General features: G+C 40.7%; 1 long non-coding RNA gene across 1 annotated transcript in view, besides 1 other annotated feature; it reads right to left on the bottom strand.

Annotated features, from left to right (window-relative positions):
- The window catches only part of LOC101927189 (uncharacterized), a 67686-nt gene extending 55026 nt beyond the window's left edge, over positions 1-12660 (bottom strand). Inside the window, exon 1 of the long non-coding RNA NR_125842.1 lies at positions 12365-12660. This is a non-coding gene — a long non-coding RNA (uncharacterized LOC101927189). The remainder of the gene's footprint in view (positions 1-12364) is intronic.
- Positions 13257-13551: a silencer, noted in NCBI's record as "tiled region #6720; HepG2 Repressive non-DNase unmatched - State 7:EnhWF". NCBI's record gives its function as "represses a minimal TATA promoter and a strong SV40 promoter by Sharpr-MPRA in HepG2 cells {active_cell/tissue: HepG2}" and the evidence as "EXISTENCE:reporter gene assay evidence [ECO:0000049][PMID:27701403]".

The raw sequence follows: 17209 nt of genomic DNA, 5'->3' as shown, positions 1-17209 counted from the left end.
AGTGAGATTTCCTCTAAGCAGGAGGTGGTTTGGGCAACAGTGTTTCAAAGAAGAGCATTGCAGACATGAAGGCAAAAGTGAGTAAATACATAGGAGAGGATTTTTATTGTACAGATGGGAGAAGGAACAGATGCTTGAAAGGAGGAGGGTAGCCTTTCACAAGTGAAATATGAAAATGAACAAATCTTAGATAAATAAACTTTGTGCAGTATACTTAGTCTGTGGGCCTCCTTTTATCCTTTCCAAATAGAATGGCCTATTCTGCTGATTTTATAAATATTATATATTTCCTAAGTAAAGAGATCATTTTAATTACTAGTAGTGACAGAAGAGGAAAGAGGTGCTCACTCATTTAGGCATGAACAGAGGTTGTTCTGTGACAGATCCTAGAGGAATAAAAACCAATAAGATACAGCCTCTACTTGCAGGTAGTTCATTTCTTAGCAGGGGGGAATCTAGAAGGGCCTGTTAGAAAAGGAAACCCTGGAAGTGAGTTGTGATAGGTAATTGAAGTGCAATGAAAGGCTCTTGTTGGGAAGACCATTCCAGCAAGAAGGGGTGACACAAGCAAAAATCTTTCTGAAGATTAACGTTGCCTGTAGCATAAACTGAAAAGATAGGCAGGCGGTAGTTGGATCAAGGTCTCTTCTGCTTCTCTAGGAGATTATATTTTACTCTTTGCAATGAGTAAATTCAGAGCATTTTAAGGAGGAGAAAATGAGAATATTTCTTGAAAGACCCATCTTGGTTGCAGGTTGAAGAGTGACACACAGGATTTCGAGACCAGAAGCAGGGACAACAAGTGAAGACCACTGCTAGCTCAGGTGAGAGTAGAAGCAGATGAAAAGTTGGGCCAGTTAAAAAATTTCTCGGGGAATTAATCCATAATGAAGGCTGCATTAATTAGGATGTAGGCTAAGATGCTATAACAAGGAAACCCAAAATATAGTAGCTTAAATGTCTCATAGTACTCCAAACATGTGTGGGTGGGCTAGGGCAGGGGACACCAATGACAGCCTGGGGGCCAAATCAAAACTGCTGCCTGTTTTACAAATAAAGTTTCATAGAAACCCAACCATGCCCACTCATTTCCCTGTTGGCTATACCTGCTTTCCTTCTACATAGATACTTGAGTAGTACGACCGTGACCTTATGGTGAAAAAGGCCTAAAATATTTGCTGTCTGACCCTCAGCTCTCCAGTAAACCCCTGGTCTGGGACAAATAGTTGTCTCTGAGTTTCACATCATCCAGGAATCCAGGCTGGGGTGGTGAGCTCAATTATCTCCAACCCGGACCTTCCACCCTGGGTCCAGGGAGGTTACCACAATGGTCACCATTCCCAGCCAGGGAACCCCAGGTTGCTCTCAGCCTAGTAAGTCACCCAGCCCTAGGCAGCTGCAGAGAAGACTGGGAAATGCAGACTCTAGTGACTTGGCCATAGGTCCAGCTGAAACGTCACCGCCGCTATCTACTCTAAGACATACATACTCACATTTTGACATCTCTGAAACCAGCATTCATTTTGCAATCACTCTCAGCTCGGACTGAAGTTGTGTTTTTCCAGAGTTGATTTGCATCTGTTTCTTCCAGTAATCTAGGCACATTCCCAACATGAGACTACTTTAAATTAAATTCTCTGCCTGACAAAAAAACTAAAGGAACAGGGGAAAAACTAGCCCTTTTATAATGGCATTCAACCCGCCCATGAGGACAGAGCTCTCACGGTCCTGTCACTTCCCAAAGCTCTCCCCTCCTAACATTGCCACAAGAGCAACCAAATAAATTTCAGCTGAGTTTTGAAGGGGACAAACATTCAAATCATAGCAATACCTAAAGGACATAGAATTACTATCTTGAGGAGATGTCTGCACTCCCATGTTCATCACAGCATTATTCACAATAGACAAGATATGAAAACAACCTAGCTGTCAATTAAGAGATGAATGAATTTAAAAAGTGAGGTGTGTATATCTATATCTATCTACCTATCTCTCTAGCTAATGAAATATTACTCAGCCTTAAAAAAGAAAAAATCTGCCATTTGCAAACATGGATAAATCTTGAGGAAATTACACTAAGTAAAATAAGGTAGTCATAGAAATACAAAATTGCATGAACTCACTTTTATGTGGAATCTGCAAAAGAGTAGATAGAACTCATAGTTACAGAAAGTAGAATGGTGACACCCCCATGGGCTGGGGAAATTGGGATTACTAATCAAATGATACAAACCTGTTGTTAAAAGATATGTAAGAACTGGAGGCTCAATGTATAGCATAATGACTCTAGTGAATTATGTCATGTATACTTACACTTTGTTAATAAAATAGATCTCAAATAAACCCACCTGTCCATTTTCACACTGCTAATAAAGACATACCTGAGACTGGGCAATTTACAAAGGAAAGAGGTTTAATTGAGAACTCACAGTTCCACCTGGCTAGGAAAACCTCACAATCATGGCGGAAGGCAAGGAGGAGCAAGTCACATCAGCAGACAAAGAGAGAGCTTGTGCAGAGAAACTCCCATTTTCAAAACCATTCACTCGTGAGATTCATTCACTATCATGAGAATAGCCCAGGAAAGACCTGCCCCTGTAATTCAACCCCCAACCACCGGGTTCCTCCCATGACATGTGGGAATTGTAGGAGTTACAATTCAAGATGGGATTTGGGTGGGGACACAGCCACATCATGTCACCACCACACCAAAAGAAAAAGAGTAACTCAGTGAGGTAATTGATGAGCAGCAGGTGGTTTGGGCAACAGTTTAATTAGCTTCATTGTGGTAATAATTTCACAGTGTATAAATACATCAAAACATATAAGTAAGGTTATGTACCTTAAATATAAATAATTTTTGTCAATCATACCTCAATAAAGGTGGTAAAGATTAAGTGTAACCAAACTAATATCTGTGTGTACATTTTATTTGAAACCATTTAAAATAACTTGTAGATTAAATGTAAATCTAAATTGACATAATTGTTAGTCAAAAAAGTTCTATTGAGGGAGCATGGTGTTAAATCTAGAATTAGATATTTAGCTAAAATACTTTTAACAAATGAAAGTAAACTAAAATATTTTCAAAAGTTAAAAGAAAGAAGAATTGGATCAGGGTTCTTGGTAGTACATTCTGTTTTGTGTTATCTGTATATGATGATTTGGAAAACAGGGGTGAAATTGCCAAGAGAATTTATTTATATGGCCTATGCATTCATAATCAAGACTTAAAATCAAATGGTATAAATCAAGTCTTAAAATTCAGTCTTAAAATCAAGACTGAATCAAATGGTATAAATTTTATCTTTCAACATCTCTAAGAAATGGAAATAATTACCCTCATTTTTTTAACCAGTACTTTTTCTTACAATCAACCATGAATGATGTATAAAAGTGTCCTGCATATTGAAATCGATATAGTAACTCAAGATACCTTGTTCTTGATGGTGATTTTAAAATGAATATCTTTGTGGATAGGTAAGTGAATTCATTGGTAAATAATAAAAGTACTCAAATAAATTAGCAAAAAAATTCTCTGGGGTTTTTTTAAAACCACAGTTAGTATGAATTCAGACCACAAATCTAAATGACTAACAGCTCTTGGTTTAAGTTCTCAAGGGAAATTTTCCTTTTTCCTATCTCCACCCGTGTAAGACATGTTATTTTCTTGCCTTTTTTTTTCTTTTGGTGGATGGCAGGCATACTTCTTGTTTCCCCTTCAATGAGGTGCAGCCTTTGATGTACCACCTTTGTTTGGGTTTTTTGTTTTCTTTCTTACTGGTAAAATAAAACATGGTGCATCTCACAGTAATGGTGTCTCTGATTTTTAAAAACACGGCAGAAGAATAAAAAAGGAGAATGTATACTAGTGGGCAGGTTAGTAGTTTGCTCCAGGTGTTAACACATCCACTAGAAGTTTTATAAGATGGAAAAAACAAAATATTTACTTAAGCTCTTCCCAATGAAAGAATTAAGTGAAGTTGGAAGAAGCATTTCGAGAGCGGCTGTGTAGTGAGATCCCTGAAGGCCATGCTTGAACCATGAACTGCCTTCTTAGGTATGTATGGGGGTGGTCTGAGTTTTTGGATTTTGCTGGATTTTGTTGTGCTAAGTGGGGTATGGAAAGGTGAAGCAGCATGCAATGGCTCCAGATCTTACAGAAACGATGCATGTCAACAGCTCTTCTTCCCCACTCCTCTCCCACACAACCCCATCATCTAAAACAAGTGAAAATAAATGTAAAATAACAGTTAGTAGGGTCCCCAAACATCTCATCTGCCTGTGGTGGCCACATATCTGAGTATGGTCTTGACTGAGAGGTGATGAGGGCAGGAACCAAGATGTGGTCATGGAGATGTAGAGGCAGGGATGAGAGTGGAGGAGGTAAAGGTAGTAGGATGGATAGGCAGGGATGGTGGTGACCCTGGTTTCAGGCTGGGGTAACTCTGTGTATGGCAGTGCTATTAACTGCACAGAAAACACACTCAGAAAAAAGAAGTAGTAGATTTGGGACATGGGATGTAGAGAAAATTTGACTTTTAGGGGGCAGATTATATTTGAGGTATCTGTTCATTCAACAGGAAAAGGAAGCAGTAGGGCCAGGAAATGCACACCCTAAACACACTGGAAGAAAAAAAAAACAGTTTTTCTTTACATGTTAAAGACCATTCGATAATCAATTGGGAATGGATAGAGGAAAGGTGAGATCCCTGAACTTAAGATACAAATAGCATGCCAAAGTTAGTCAACTGAAAACCTTAATAAAATTAGAAATGCCATTAATAATTAAGTGTGTTATATAACATACGTTTGTCATTCCTACTCTTCTAAGAACCTATCATATCCATGGTGGAAAAGAAGTTCCAAGCTTTCAAGTAACTTGTCAAGGACACTCGAGGTCTCACCATTATCACCACAATGCCAGCACATAACAGGAACTCTGTAAATATCAGTTAGCTGACAAACGTCTGCTGCATAATGAGAAACTAAGCCCCAATTTGAACTGAGGTCAGAACTCTTTCCACCAGCCAGACTGCCTCATCTGGTAGACAGTTTCTCTTTTTTTAACACCATTTATCGTCTTGGTCTCCAGGATGTCTTCTGCTCTTTATTATTCTCCAAGTTTCTCTGTCCTTTCCTTCACTTCTCCTCCTGTTCTCCCCATCCTTCTTCCTTGGTTCTATAGCCCTTTCTTGATCTACTAATGCTTCTTCTCTTAGAAATGACCTAAAATGATTCATACATCATGGAATTAACACAGTAAAACATTAAAAACAAAACAACAAAAACTTAAAGCATCAAAACAAAAAAGTGAGATCTTAAAATAAAAATTCATATGCTTCAAAGCTCATATAAGACAAGTTTAATTTTTCAAATAGAAACAAATTTAAATTCGGGGAAATGCTTTCCCAGAGCACAATATATAAACATTGTGAACTTGGAGCATCATTAGGATGGGGTTGATATCACAATGTGGTTACAATCTTCTCTGGCTATATAAATTTTTCGTTAATTTAGAGTGTCCCTGTTTTATTGCTGCCTTTTATTTTCTAAGTATTAGCTCTAATATTTTGCAGAGAATTTTCTCTTCGATTATAATGGTCACTAATAGCCTTCTTCACAACATCTTATCTCAGCTTTCACTTCAAATTTTGATTTGAGGAAACGTTTTCTAGCATAAGCACCAAAATGCAGTCACTGTTTGTATAATGTATTGTTATAGGATATAAAAAAGATTTTAATCTGGTTAATAGGGACAGTGGTCAGCAGAATTCCCTGCAGAAGAACTGATGCTTGTGACCAACACTGTGGTTCACATGATCGTGCTTAGGAGAGCAGCTATTTCTGTTTACAAGATAACTTTCACCATGAAATGAAAATAGCATGAATGTATTCAATCAACTAGCTAGCTTTTTTGATGGGGAGAAAGCAAAGGGGTGATTAGAATTATTTCCTTTTTAGTACATAAAGCAAAACTTAATTTCATATGACATTATTTGACATACACTGTAACTACATATATTTGATAAAAATCAAGGAGGTCTTGATTTCAGGACTTTTCAGCAGGATGAAAAGGATTATTTCTCCATTCTCCTGGCATATCTCAAGCAAAATGTTGAATGCACACACTATATATTTTTTAATTCAATGATGATGGGAAAGCAGAGAATGTAGGAAATTAAGGAAATATGGGGTCAGTCAACTGTATGCCATCTTGTAAGATTAATTTCTAAAAATATTCTCTGAAAAAAGTAAAATAATCCTACTTTTCCAGCCCTGTGATTTTAACGCTATTAATAACAAAATGTATCATCAAGGGTTTGGTCCTGCAAAGGCAAAGGCCTTCACTGGATTAGAAATGAAACAATGTAACAAGAAAAATGGGGAAAATATAAACTATGTACTTCCGCACACAGGATAATTCAGGGCATCTGGAGACGGTTTAGTTTCATAAATTAATGATTTCTAATCTCTTGTCATGAACAATACATACTAATAGAAAGTGAGGTTTTTACAATTGTTGAACTAATTTACACTCCCACCAACAGCATGTCTTTCCTTTTCTCTGCAACCTCACCAGCACCAATTACTTTTTGACTTTTTAATAATAGCCATTCTGACTGGTGTGAAATGCTATCCCACTGTGGTTTTTATTTGCATATTTCTAATGATTAGTGATGTTGAGCTTTTTTTCCATATGCTTGTTGGCTGTATATATGTCTTCTTTTAAGTAGTGTCTTGTTCATGTCCTTTGCCCACTATTTAATGGGGTTGTTTGTTTTTATCTTATAAATGTGTTTAAGTTTCTTACAGATGCTGGATATTAGACCTTTGTCAGATGCATACTGGCAAAAATTTTCTCCCATTCTCTAGGTTGTCTGTTTACTCTGATAGTTTCTTTGTTGTGCAGAAGCTCTTTAGTTTAAGTAGATCCCCTTTGTCAATTTTTGCTTTTGTTTGAATGGTTTTTGGTGTCTTCATCATAAAATCTTAACAAAATCCTTTGACGCAAGTTAATCTATTCACAAACCTGCACATGTACCTGCACAACTTGGACTTAAAAGTTTAAAAAGTGAGTTTTTTTTGTTTTTTTGTTTTTTTTTTTTTGAGACGGAGTCTTGCTCTATGGCCATGCTAAAGTGCAGTGGTATGATCTTGGCTCACCGCAACCTCCACCCCCCGGGTTCAGGTGATTCTCCTGCCTCAGCCTCCCGAGTAGCTGGGATTACAGGTGCCCGCCACCACGCCCAGCTAATTTTTGTACTTTTAGTAGAGACGGGGTTTCACCACGTTGGCCAGGATGGTCTGGATCTCTTGACCTCGTGATCTGCCCGCCTCGGCCTCCCAAAGTGCTGGGATTACAGGCCTGAGCCACTGCGCCAGGCCCAAAAAGTGAGTTTTTTTAAAAAACCAAGTCTTAGAAGAAAAATTATTTGAAATGTAATACATGCTCAGGAAATAACCAGATTGAAGATGACTGGAGTGACTAACACATCTGTAGTGCACATTGTAGTGTGCAGCTGAGATCCCCCTTTCAGAACTAAGGTGCTCATTGCCCCAGCTGTTGAGTGAGTTGGCTGCTCATTGCTCACCCATGAATCCCTCCACAGGAACTGCCCTCTACCAAAGGAAACTGCCTTGCCCAAGTTTGCACCTCCTTTCCAGTGGCGGCCTACATCTAATTACTGGTTGTGGGGTACAAAGGCCTGCTTTCTTGCCTCAGCCGGGATCCCCAGCTCCTATTGACCATTCAAAGCCTCAGTTGAAATTGCATTGCAGTTCCACTTTTCCCACTGCCCAGTTTTGCTTTCCTCACTCCTTACCAGTGTTGTCGAGTGCAGTCCTCAGTAAACCTCCTGCATCCAAATGGGCATCTCAGAGTCTATTTCCCAGGGACTCAAGTTACAAAAACAGTAAAGCAAAAAGTAAATTGGTTTTTAGAATAAGTCTTCAGGTAGTGATCAAAAAACAATTTCCGTTTTTCATTCGAAGATTATAAAGAAAATACCTGAGACAATTAAAGTCAGGTAATAAGTAGCCGCAAGGATTCAGAAACAATGCCTATCAGGGCCAGATGCAGTGGCTCTAGCCTACAACTCCAGCAACTCAGGAGACTGAAACAGAAGGATCACTTCAGGCCTGGAGTTCAAGACCAGACTGGGCAACATAGTAAGACTCCATCTCTAATTTTTTTTTTTTTTAATTAGCTGGGCAAGTTCACTGCAGTGAACTATGATCGCAGCATTGCACTACAATCTGGGTGACAGAGACCCCGTCTCAAAAAAAAAAAAAAAAAAGAGGAAACAATGCCTTACATGTGTTCAATCCTCAGAAGACGGATCTGTGCCGAGTCTAAGAAGTTAACAGGCAAGTTTATCTCAGCCGTAGTACTGGAAAATCCAGTTTCTTAGGTTGATTCTGTTCTGCTTGAAATTCTGTCAGCCTAAGAAGCACGCAGAGGTCTCCAGTGATTAACTAGATGTGATGCATAAGTGCAGTGGAGAAATCTAGTCTGAATACATTGTCAAGTGGCAAAGAAAATGGAGATCTCTACTGAAAATGCTCCAGTTTGGGTGAAGTTTTTCCATCAATCTTTAATTGGGCAGAGAAAAAGCATATGTGATTCTTATTTCATAATAATATAATCTTTCTTCCAAAAGTACAATAGACACTACCAAATAATATTTCCACTTTGAAAGTTAATTTTCACAATAGGCCTGTCAAATAGGCAAATTTCTTTCCCCTGCTTTTGTAATCATCCTCTTTACCTCCCTACATGTCCTATTTACAAACCCAGTCTTCCTCTTGTCATTGCCCTTTTTCACCCCATCAACAACCACAAACACCTATTACATCTAATTTTTCTTTACCTTCCTCCCACTCTCATCCAAGCTAATGGGTTTCCTCCAACACAGCTTCTTACAGGTTAAACTATAAATTTGATGCTAATCAACTGGTAAGAAACTTCCTAGAAACTTCCTTACTCATTACAGAGGAAGGTGTGTCAAAAGCATAAGGGTTCAAGCTGCAAGACATGACCTGTTAATGAGTTGTGAAATTAATTTATTTGGTTTTGATTAGCACTAAAAATAATGAAATTGGAAATATCAGAGTTCCTTATATACAGTTAAGGAAAAAGCACTATGTTGGGAAACTTTAGTTTCAGCTATGTACATGTATGTGTTTACTGGGTTACTACGTGACAGGTTCCTTCAAGAAAGTTGAGTTGCAGTCAGAAAAGTTAGAAAAGCACTGAGGTAGAAATTTCTAGAAAGAGGGAGCATTCCACAGAGTCAAATGCAGCAGACAGGTCTAGAAAGGTAAGAGGTGAATCAGTGTCCATCAGATGTGGCCCCACAGAGGTCTGCTGACCTGGCTAGAGCAGTTCCACCATGCTGTGTATGGGAGCCAGACTTCTCACGGTAGTGCATGGAAACTTAGAAGCAGGGAGAACAAGAATAGACCTGTTTTAAGAACCTTGGCAGAGAAGAGTAAGGAAGACTATGATGGAGGGGACTTAAGAGTCTATTTCTCAGGGACTCAAAAGTTAAAAGTAAAGCAAAAAGTAAATTGGTCTTTAGAGTAAGTCTTCACGTAGTAATCAAAAAACAATTTTCCTATTTGCCAATTCAATTTTCTATTCCTAATTCAAAAATTGTAATGAAAACACTTGAGACAATTAAAGTTGAGTAAAAGTAGCCACAAGGATTTAGAAACAATGCCTATCAGGGCTGGGTGCAGTGGCTCTAGGTTTTTGACCTAGGTGATCAAGGTTTTTTGCTCATTTAGAGTGGTATCTAAACATGTTTATAGAAGCTGCTGAGATATGGGATAAAATGGATCATCAATGGAGCAAACTCTAAGAGAAAAAGGATCGGAGAGTGGCTGGAAGAGCTAGCTGTGATGAGGAAGTGAGGTCTGGGAGAGGACAGAGTCCAGCAAAGGCATTCTGTGGGTGAGGGTAGCAGGGAATAAAAACTGGCAATTCGCTCCTGAAAGCCTTTATTTCCTCCATAAAATAAGGCTGACATTCAGTATCTAAATGTGCTGCCTTGGCCATTTTTAAAATATTGCATCTCTTCCTATAGGATGCTGGTTTCAGTCATGGAGTCTACACATCATGCAGTGATGTTGCTTAGCCAGGCATACAGCCCATCCTTCAAGAAAATTGAATAGAAATGTAAGATAACAGTAGGGTCCCCAAACATAATAGCATTGGGACTCAAGAGAGTGTTGAGGGTGTGCTATAGCTCCTGAGCAGCCTGAGAAGGGGGTGACCCCAGGCATTTGTTGCAAAGCATCCCAGAGTTGGCAGAGCAAGTGGCAGGGCAGGTCATGCTGTTGGTAGGGAACAAGGAACAGGCTCTCTGAGTTCTGCCCATTTGGAAAGCCAGGGTGTCCAGACTGGTGTCTGGCTGTGATAACCAGGCGACACATCCAACGCCGTCTGGTGGCAAAAGATAGCAGGTTGCACCTATTGACTAGAGGCAGAAACCCCTGCAAACTGTCTATAAAGGGTCAAATAATCAATATTTTTGGCTTTGAGTGCCATTTGGTCTCTGCACATTTAAAAAGGGACATAGTCATGTTCCAAGAAAACTTTATTTATAAAAACAGGCAATGGGTTATAGTTTAAGAGCCCCTGGACTTGAGTATTTTAATAGGAATGCTATCAAAAAAGTCTGATGTTCCCAAAGCAAATGGTGGCCCAGGGAAGGGCATCATTTAGATAGCAGCCACCTACATTAAATAAGCCCTAAAGATGCAAAAATTTTGCATATATGATATGCATAATTATGCAATATGATAAATGATTAGAACTACTACTCAGATCTCTAGAGAAGTAGTTTTATGATACACATAATATTGCTTTATATGACAAAAAAGGGACAGTTTCTAAAATGTGTGTATTGGTCTACATATTACCATATATTTCCATACCAGTTACCTATTTTCAGGATCATCCTTAGTATGACAACGGGATAATGCATTTGGAGAGAGTCATTAAACCTTGGAACAGTTGAATAAGGCAACTTGTTTCCTAAGGACACTAAAATGATTGTGATGCTACATGAAGAATACAGATGAGGTTGGAGATCCTGAGCTTCGGTGTTTCCCAATCTGAAATACCAAGATTGGAAGATTTCTTCCAAAAGCCCAGGTATAAGGACAGATTGTGGGTTGGAAGATTTGTGACCTGAATGTCAGGCACAGATCTGGTTCCTGCTCACTGAGAGTCCATGGTGTGTGGGCTGATACGCCACCAGGCAAGTCAGGAAGTGTTAATATATTCTAGCCACATCTGGCCATCCACATTTTCAGTCTTCCCCTTAGGCACTCACCCAGAGGCAAACATGCTTTCTACTTCCGTTAGCACTTCCTCTACTCCTATTAGCTTGTATAGATTGGCAAGAAGAGCCTAAAGGTCAACACATGGCTAAGACCAGATGCTCTTATGCCTCCCCATATGGAGCAAATATGATGCGTTTCAGGATAGCAAAAAGAGTGGTAATTGCTGAAAACCTTCTATGTGCTCTGTCATCTAATTCTCTAGAAAGTCTTGAAGTAAGTATTATTCCCATTTTACAGACGAGTTCACTAAGACTTGGGGAAATTAAGAAAAACCTCTCAAGGTCACAACATTAAGTAAGTGCCATAGCTGGATTTAAATCTGCTTAACTCCAAAGCTCCTGCTCCTTCCAGCACACTAGAGCAGTGGTTCTCTAAGTATGTTCCCTGAACCAGTAGCAGCAGCAGCACCTCAGAACATGTTAGAGGTGCAAATTCTTAGGCCCCACCCCAGACCTATGGAATCAGACTCTGAGAGTGGGGTCCAGCAATCTGCTTTAACACTGCCACCAGGGGGTTCTGATGCATGCTCAAGTTTGGAAACTACTGCACAATACAGCCTTCAAGAAAAAGATACTACAGTAGGTTCCAGGTCTACACATCATGCAGTGATGTTGTAGGTTCCAGGTTACATGACAGTGAGCAAGACAGGGTCAGCCACACTGAGCAGCCCTGGACAAACCTAAGGAGCTAAGGATAGAGACAGCTCTTCTCTACCTGTATGCCTGACTGAGCAACATCACTGCATGATGTGGTTTTTCTGCCCCCAACATTGTACCAGTTCTTTAAAGAGCAAGTAGCTATGATACCGGAAAAGAACCATATCAGAGCTTCACATTTGGTTGTCAACATCATTTCTTCTAACAACCTAACTGCTACATGGATTTGCTGTCCTTGAGATGTGGAATGAAAAGGTTAGGTAATTTACCAAGGGTCAAGTGACCACAGGTGACAAACCCTGGGTTTCCCAAGGACTGCTGCTACCCAGGTCCCAGGGGCACACCCCCTTTACCTGCTGGCAGGCATCAAGACGAAGACAGGCAGCCATTGTTGGGGAGGGAGTCGACATCAAGCTGGTATCTCATCTAGCTCGTGACTTTTCTATACTGAGCACCTTCCAGGTGTCCAGGTGAGAACACAACATGGATAAGGCTTACTTTACATCTGTCAGAGCCCTGGCAAATGCCTTCCCGAGTGCCTCTGGCATTCTCTGTGAGAAAGAGAGCCACAGCCTGACAACTCCCATAGCCATCAATGGCAACGCTCCTGACCCTCAAGACATTCCAAAAGGATTAAAACCAAGAGCAACCCCAACCTAACAGACCCAGCCCATAGCGTCTTCTCGAAACTTCCCAAACTCACACCGAAACTTGCCCCACCCATTCCGCCTCTGGGCCAATGGGCAGGACCAAAATTCAGGAAGAACATTCAATGCCCAGACAAGTAACCATGTTGTTTTGTTTTTCCAAGCAGTGCTGAGCGAGGTTTAAACAAACAAGCACTCACACCTGCAGCCAAGGAAGGGCAAGAAGCAGCAGCCAGGTGTGGGAACATGAACGCCAGACACTCGGGATCCAGACAGTCTCCCAGGAGAGCCCATTTCCAGTGAATACTTTCTTCAGGTGCTCAGTGAAGCGCAGTCCCATGGGGAGCCTGGGCAACTGTTGGCAAGCTACTTTTTTAAAGCAGTAAGACTTCATTTATGACTTACCTTGAGAAAGCATCAAAAGAGAGGCATTTGCAGACTCTGCATTTACAGGGCATCAGGTGTGGGGTGTCACTCTATTACACCCTGTTACAAGCCTGGTTTCTTGCTATGGGAAGACTCCATAGGACCTTCTGTTCCTATCACCAGGGTGGTGGAGCCAGTTTCAAATAAAATTAAACATTGCTTAGTCACACAAGTTTTCTATTCTTCCTGTTTTCTGCTTCTTTGATTAAATTAGTCCCTAAAGGAGCAATCATTATTTGTCAAATCTTTCACAACAACACATTATAAAAGGAGGACTTTAAATAATAAATTATGACTCATCTTCCTCATTTCCCCCAAATGGCACAAAGGTCAAGTTGCAGCACCATAGATTTCCCAGTGTTCATTATCTGTCTTTTCTCCAAGGGTAGGCTATTAAAGGTAGTGAGTATTAAAAGTCATTCCTAACTAATTAGCTCACTCTGGAGCTACCTGCCAATTTTCAGAATATGCTGAAGCTTTCTCAGAGAGCCAATTACCAAACTGTCACTCCAGTTAATGTTAAAAACGTTATCAATTTTTTTTTTCCCACTAGCCAAATACTTTATCTCACAAGTTTCTTAGGATTTGCACATAGTTTGAGATGGTAGAACAAAGACCCCATGAACATTTCCACAGCCCTTAGCCCAGGACAACATACAAGAAGTGAGTGAAGGTGGTGGGAGGGTTAGAGCAGCTGTTCCAAATCTTTTTGGCACCAGGGACCAGTTTCATGGAAAATGATTTTTCCATGGACCAGTGAGGGAGGGTGGCTTCAGGATGATTTAAGTGCATTACACTTATCATGCACTTTATTTCTATTGTTATTACATTATAATATGTAATAAAACAATTATACAAGTCATCATAATGTAGAATCAGTGGGAACCCTGAGCTTGTTTTCCTGCAACTTGATGGCCTCATCTGGGGGTGATGGGAGACAGTGACAGATCATCAGGCATTAGATTCTCATAATAAGCGTGCAACCTAGATCCCTCGCATGTGCAGTTCACAATAGGGTTTGCACTCCTATGAAAATCTAATGCTGCCGCTGATCTGCCAGGAGGAGGAGCTCAGGCGGTAATGCTTGCTTGCCCACTGCTCACCTCCTGCTGTGTGGCCCATTTCCGAACAGGCCAAGAACTGGTACCTGGCCCTGGGGTACAGGTTGGGGACCCCTGGGTTAGAGAATGCAGAATCACAGTGTTTGCAATCACTAGGCTTAAATGAAGGCCCAATTCTGCATCAATTTCATTAAATTTCACTCAGTTCCATGCCAGTCTTAGTCTATAACTTATAGCCTATGTAATTTTGACAAAAACAGAACCATCACCATTATGACAAATACAACTCTAAATGTAATTACAGGTTACAGTGCTTTGGCTGGGGAAGGGGAGCAAAGTAAAATAAAGGGGTGATTGAAATGTCAACGGAGATGTGAATTTGAATTCTGACTTTGTCCCTTACTGTTTGATCGTGGGCACATTCCTAAAACTATTTGAGTCTTAATTATCTGCTTTGCACAAAGGAAATCGCGTCACCTACCTCATGGTGGTGTTCTGGAAAGCTGAGGCTGTGTTCAGCTAGGTCAGTGTAGGGCGCATAGTAAGTACTCAGTGAATGGCTGCTGTAGTTCATAGTACTATCTTACTGTAAAAAAGGGCAGCTCGTTTTTTGTTTAGAAGTTAAATGTTGATGCTGCAAAAGAAACTTGGGGCCAGGCACAGTGGCTCACACCTGTAATCCCAGCACTTTAGGAGGCTGAGGCAGGTTGATCACTTGAGACCAGGGGTTCAAGACCAGCCTGGGCAACATGGTGAAACCCTGTCTCTACTAAAAATACAAAAAATAGCCAGGCATGGTGGCATGCAACTGTAATTCCAGCTACTTGGGAGGCTGAGGTAGGAGAATCGTTTGAACCTGGGAGGGGGAGGTTGCAGTGAGCTGAGATTGCACCACTGCACTCCAGCCTGGGCGACAGAGCAAGACTCTGTCTCAAAAGAAAAAAAAAAAAAAAAGAAACTTGGAGGATTGACCCAGTCAGGTTCTTGTCCAGTCAGAACTCAAGAGCCCTTGGCTAAAATCCATGCTTGTCACAATGATTGCCCACTCTCAGAGTCTAAAGTTACACTATCCTTCTGGCCTACTGCCAGACACAAAACCTCATCTCCAATCTTCCACACAGCCCACTGAACACAAGGAACAGATCAGGTTTTTCTGGTTTCCCTTTCCCGCCAGCTGTCTGCTTTTTAAAAAAGAAACCACTCCAACAAGATGGGAGTGTTCTCTACATGCCCCACGTCAGGCTGCACTAATTTATTTGTTCCAGCAGGTTTTTCTCCCTGGATGATCCATGTCTTAAATTGACTCGTTCCTTCTGATACATGAAAGCCTCCTTTGAGAGAAAGGAGACAGAACAAAGCAAGAGGTAAAAAAGGAGATGTTATGAAAATCCAGGGTGAAATAGAGACAAGGCAAAATGAGCACCAGAGACCTGAACCTAGAAAACCAAGAATATGACAAAGAGGGGGACATTTTCTGGAAAAGGAGACCCTTTTCTCAACTAGCTGTCTCATGGTTTCTTGGTAGGATCTAGTTTTACCTTAAGGATGGCTAGTTAGTAAGTCTGGTTAAAATGAGGTGGTTACCATGAGACCATTGCTAGACCTACCATTAAGTAAGCACACAGGACAAATTAAAATCACCACCCATTACATAATGCAGGAGTCTATATATAAAACCACAGGTGAAACAGTTTTCAAATAAAGTTTTCTCCATCAGAACTAGTGTGTGTCCTCATTCCTGAGAACATACCCATCTGATGACACACTGTTGGCTTGGTGGCAGGAATTGCAGGGGTGCTAATAACACTACTATAACAACAAAAACAGCAAGACCTGTAATAATAGCAGCCACCCACTTCCTGAGAGCGTGTTTTATGTATCCCACTTAATCCTCACTCTAAGCCTGAAAGGACTATTACTGCCCCATTTTAAAGATGAAGGACCTGAGGCCCAGAGAGGTTAGTTTGTCCATACCTACGTGGCAGGCTGGGATTCAGACCTATATCCATATGCATGATTCCACTGGCATATTGACTCAAAAATTGTAACTCCAAAGCAGTTTTAAAAAGCACATTTGCTTGCTTTTCCAGAGCTTTAAAAAAAAATGCTTCATTGTGCACTTTCTTATAGACATATTTTAAAACATAATACATGTTTTAAAAACATGCATTTTTAAATGCCTTAGTCTTGTGTTGCTAATTATTGAAGGTGAGTGATAGCTATAGGAGGGTCAATGATGATTCTACTTTTGTATGTTTTGAATTTTCCATAATAAAGTTATCTCTTTTTTTTTTTTAATTGGCTCTTTGGAAAATTGGATGAGGTAAGACAACAACAATGGTGAAGTGAGATTGCAACTCTCCATGGATGTCACTGAGTGGCAATGTCCCTAATTGCCTTCTATTAATAAGCAGCTGCAATGCAGTCCCTTGTTTGAGAGTGCTGCTGCAGCCTTGCCACACACCAGCAGCATGCCCAGGGCAGAGCATCACTCATTTTCTTTCTTTTTTTCTCTAAGACAGTCTTGCTCTGTCGCCCAGGCCGGAGTGCAGTGGCACGATCTCGGCTCACGGCAACTTCCGCCTCCCAGGTTCAAGCAATTCTCCTGCCTCAGCCTCCTGCGTAGCTGGGATTACAGGTGCCCGCCACCACACCTGGCTAATTTTATGTATTTTTAATAGAAACAGGTTTCCACCATGTTGGCCAGGTTGGTCTCGAACTCCTGACCTTGTGATCTCCCACCTCAGCCTCCCAAAGTGCTGGCATTACAGCTATGAGCCACTGTGGCCGACCAAGCGTCAGTCATTTTACCAGGGAAGGACTGGCTGTTCAGAGTAACTCTCAGACACAGAATTTTCCCAGCCTCCACCCCATTCACTAAGCATGTCTTGTTGGGTGTGGTAGATTTCACAGGAGATGGCAGAAGTGCTGCTATGAGAGGCTGGTGCGAGTGATCCCACCTTGCCTGCTCACCTCATTGACAGCCAGCTAGTATGTTTTTAGACAGAAAGATTGGGTCAGTCAGGACAATTCCTCCAAACTTTCCAGAAAAAAAACAATATCT

Source organism: Homo sapiens, chromosome 6 (assembly GCF_000001405.40).
Source record: "Homo sapiens chromosome 6, GRCh38.p14 Primary Assembly".
NCBI classification, from domain to species: Eukaryota; Metazoa; Chordata; class Mammalia; order Primates; family Hominidae; genus Homo; species Homo sapiens.
The sequence above is the reverse complement of the archived record's forward strand: the minus strand, read 5'-3'. Positions and strand labels throughout refer to the sequence as shown.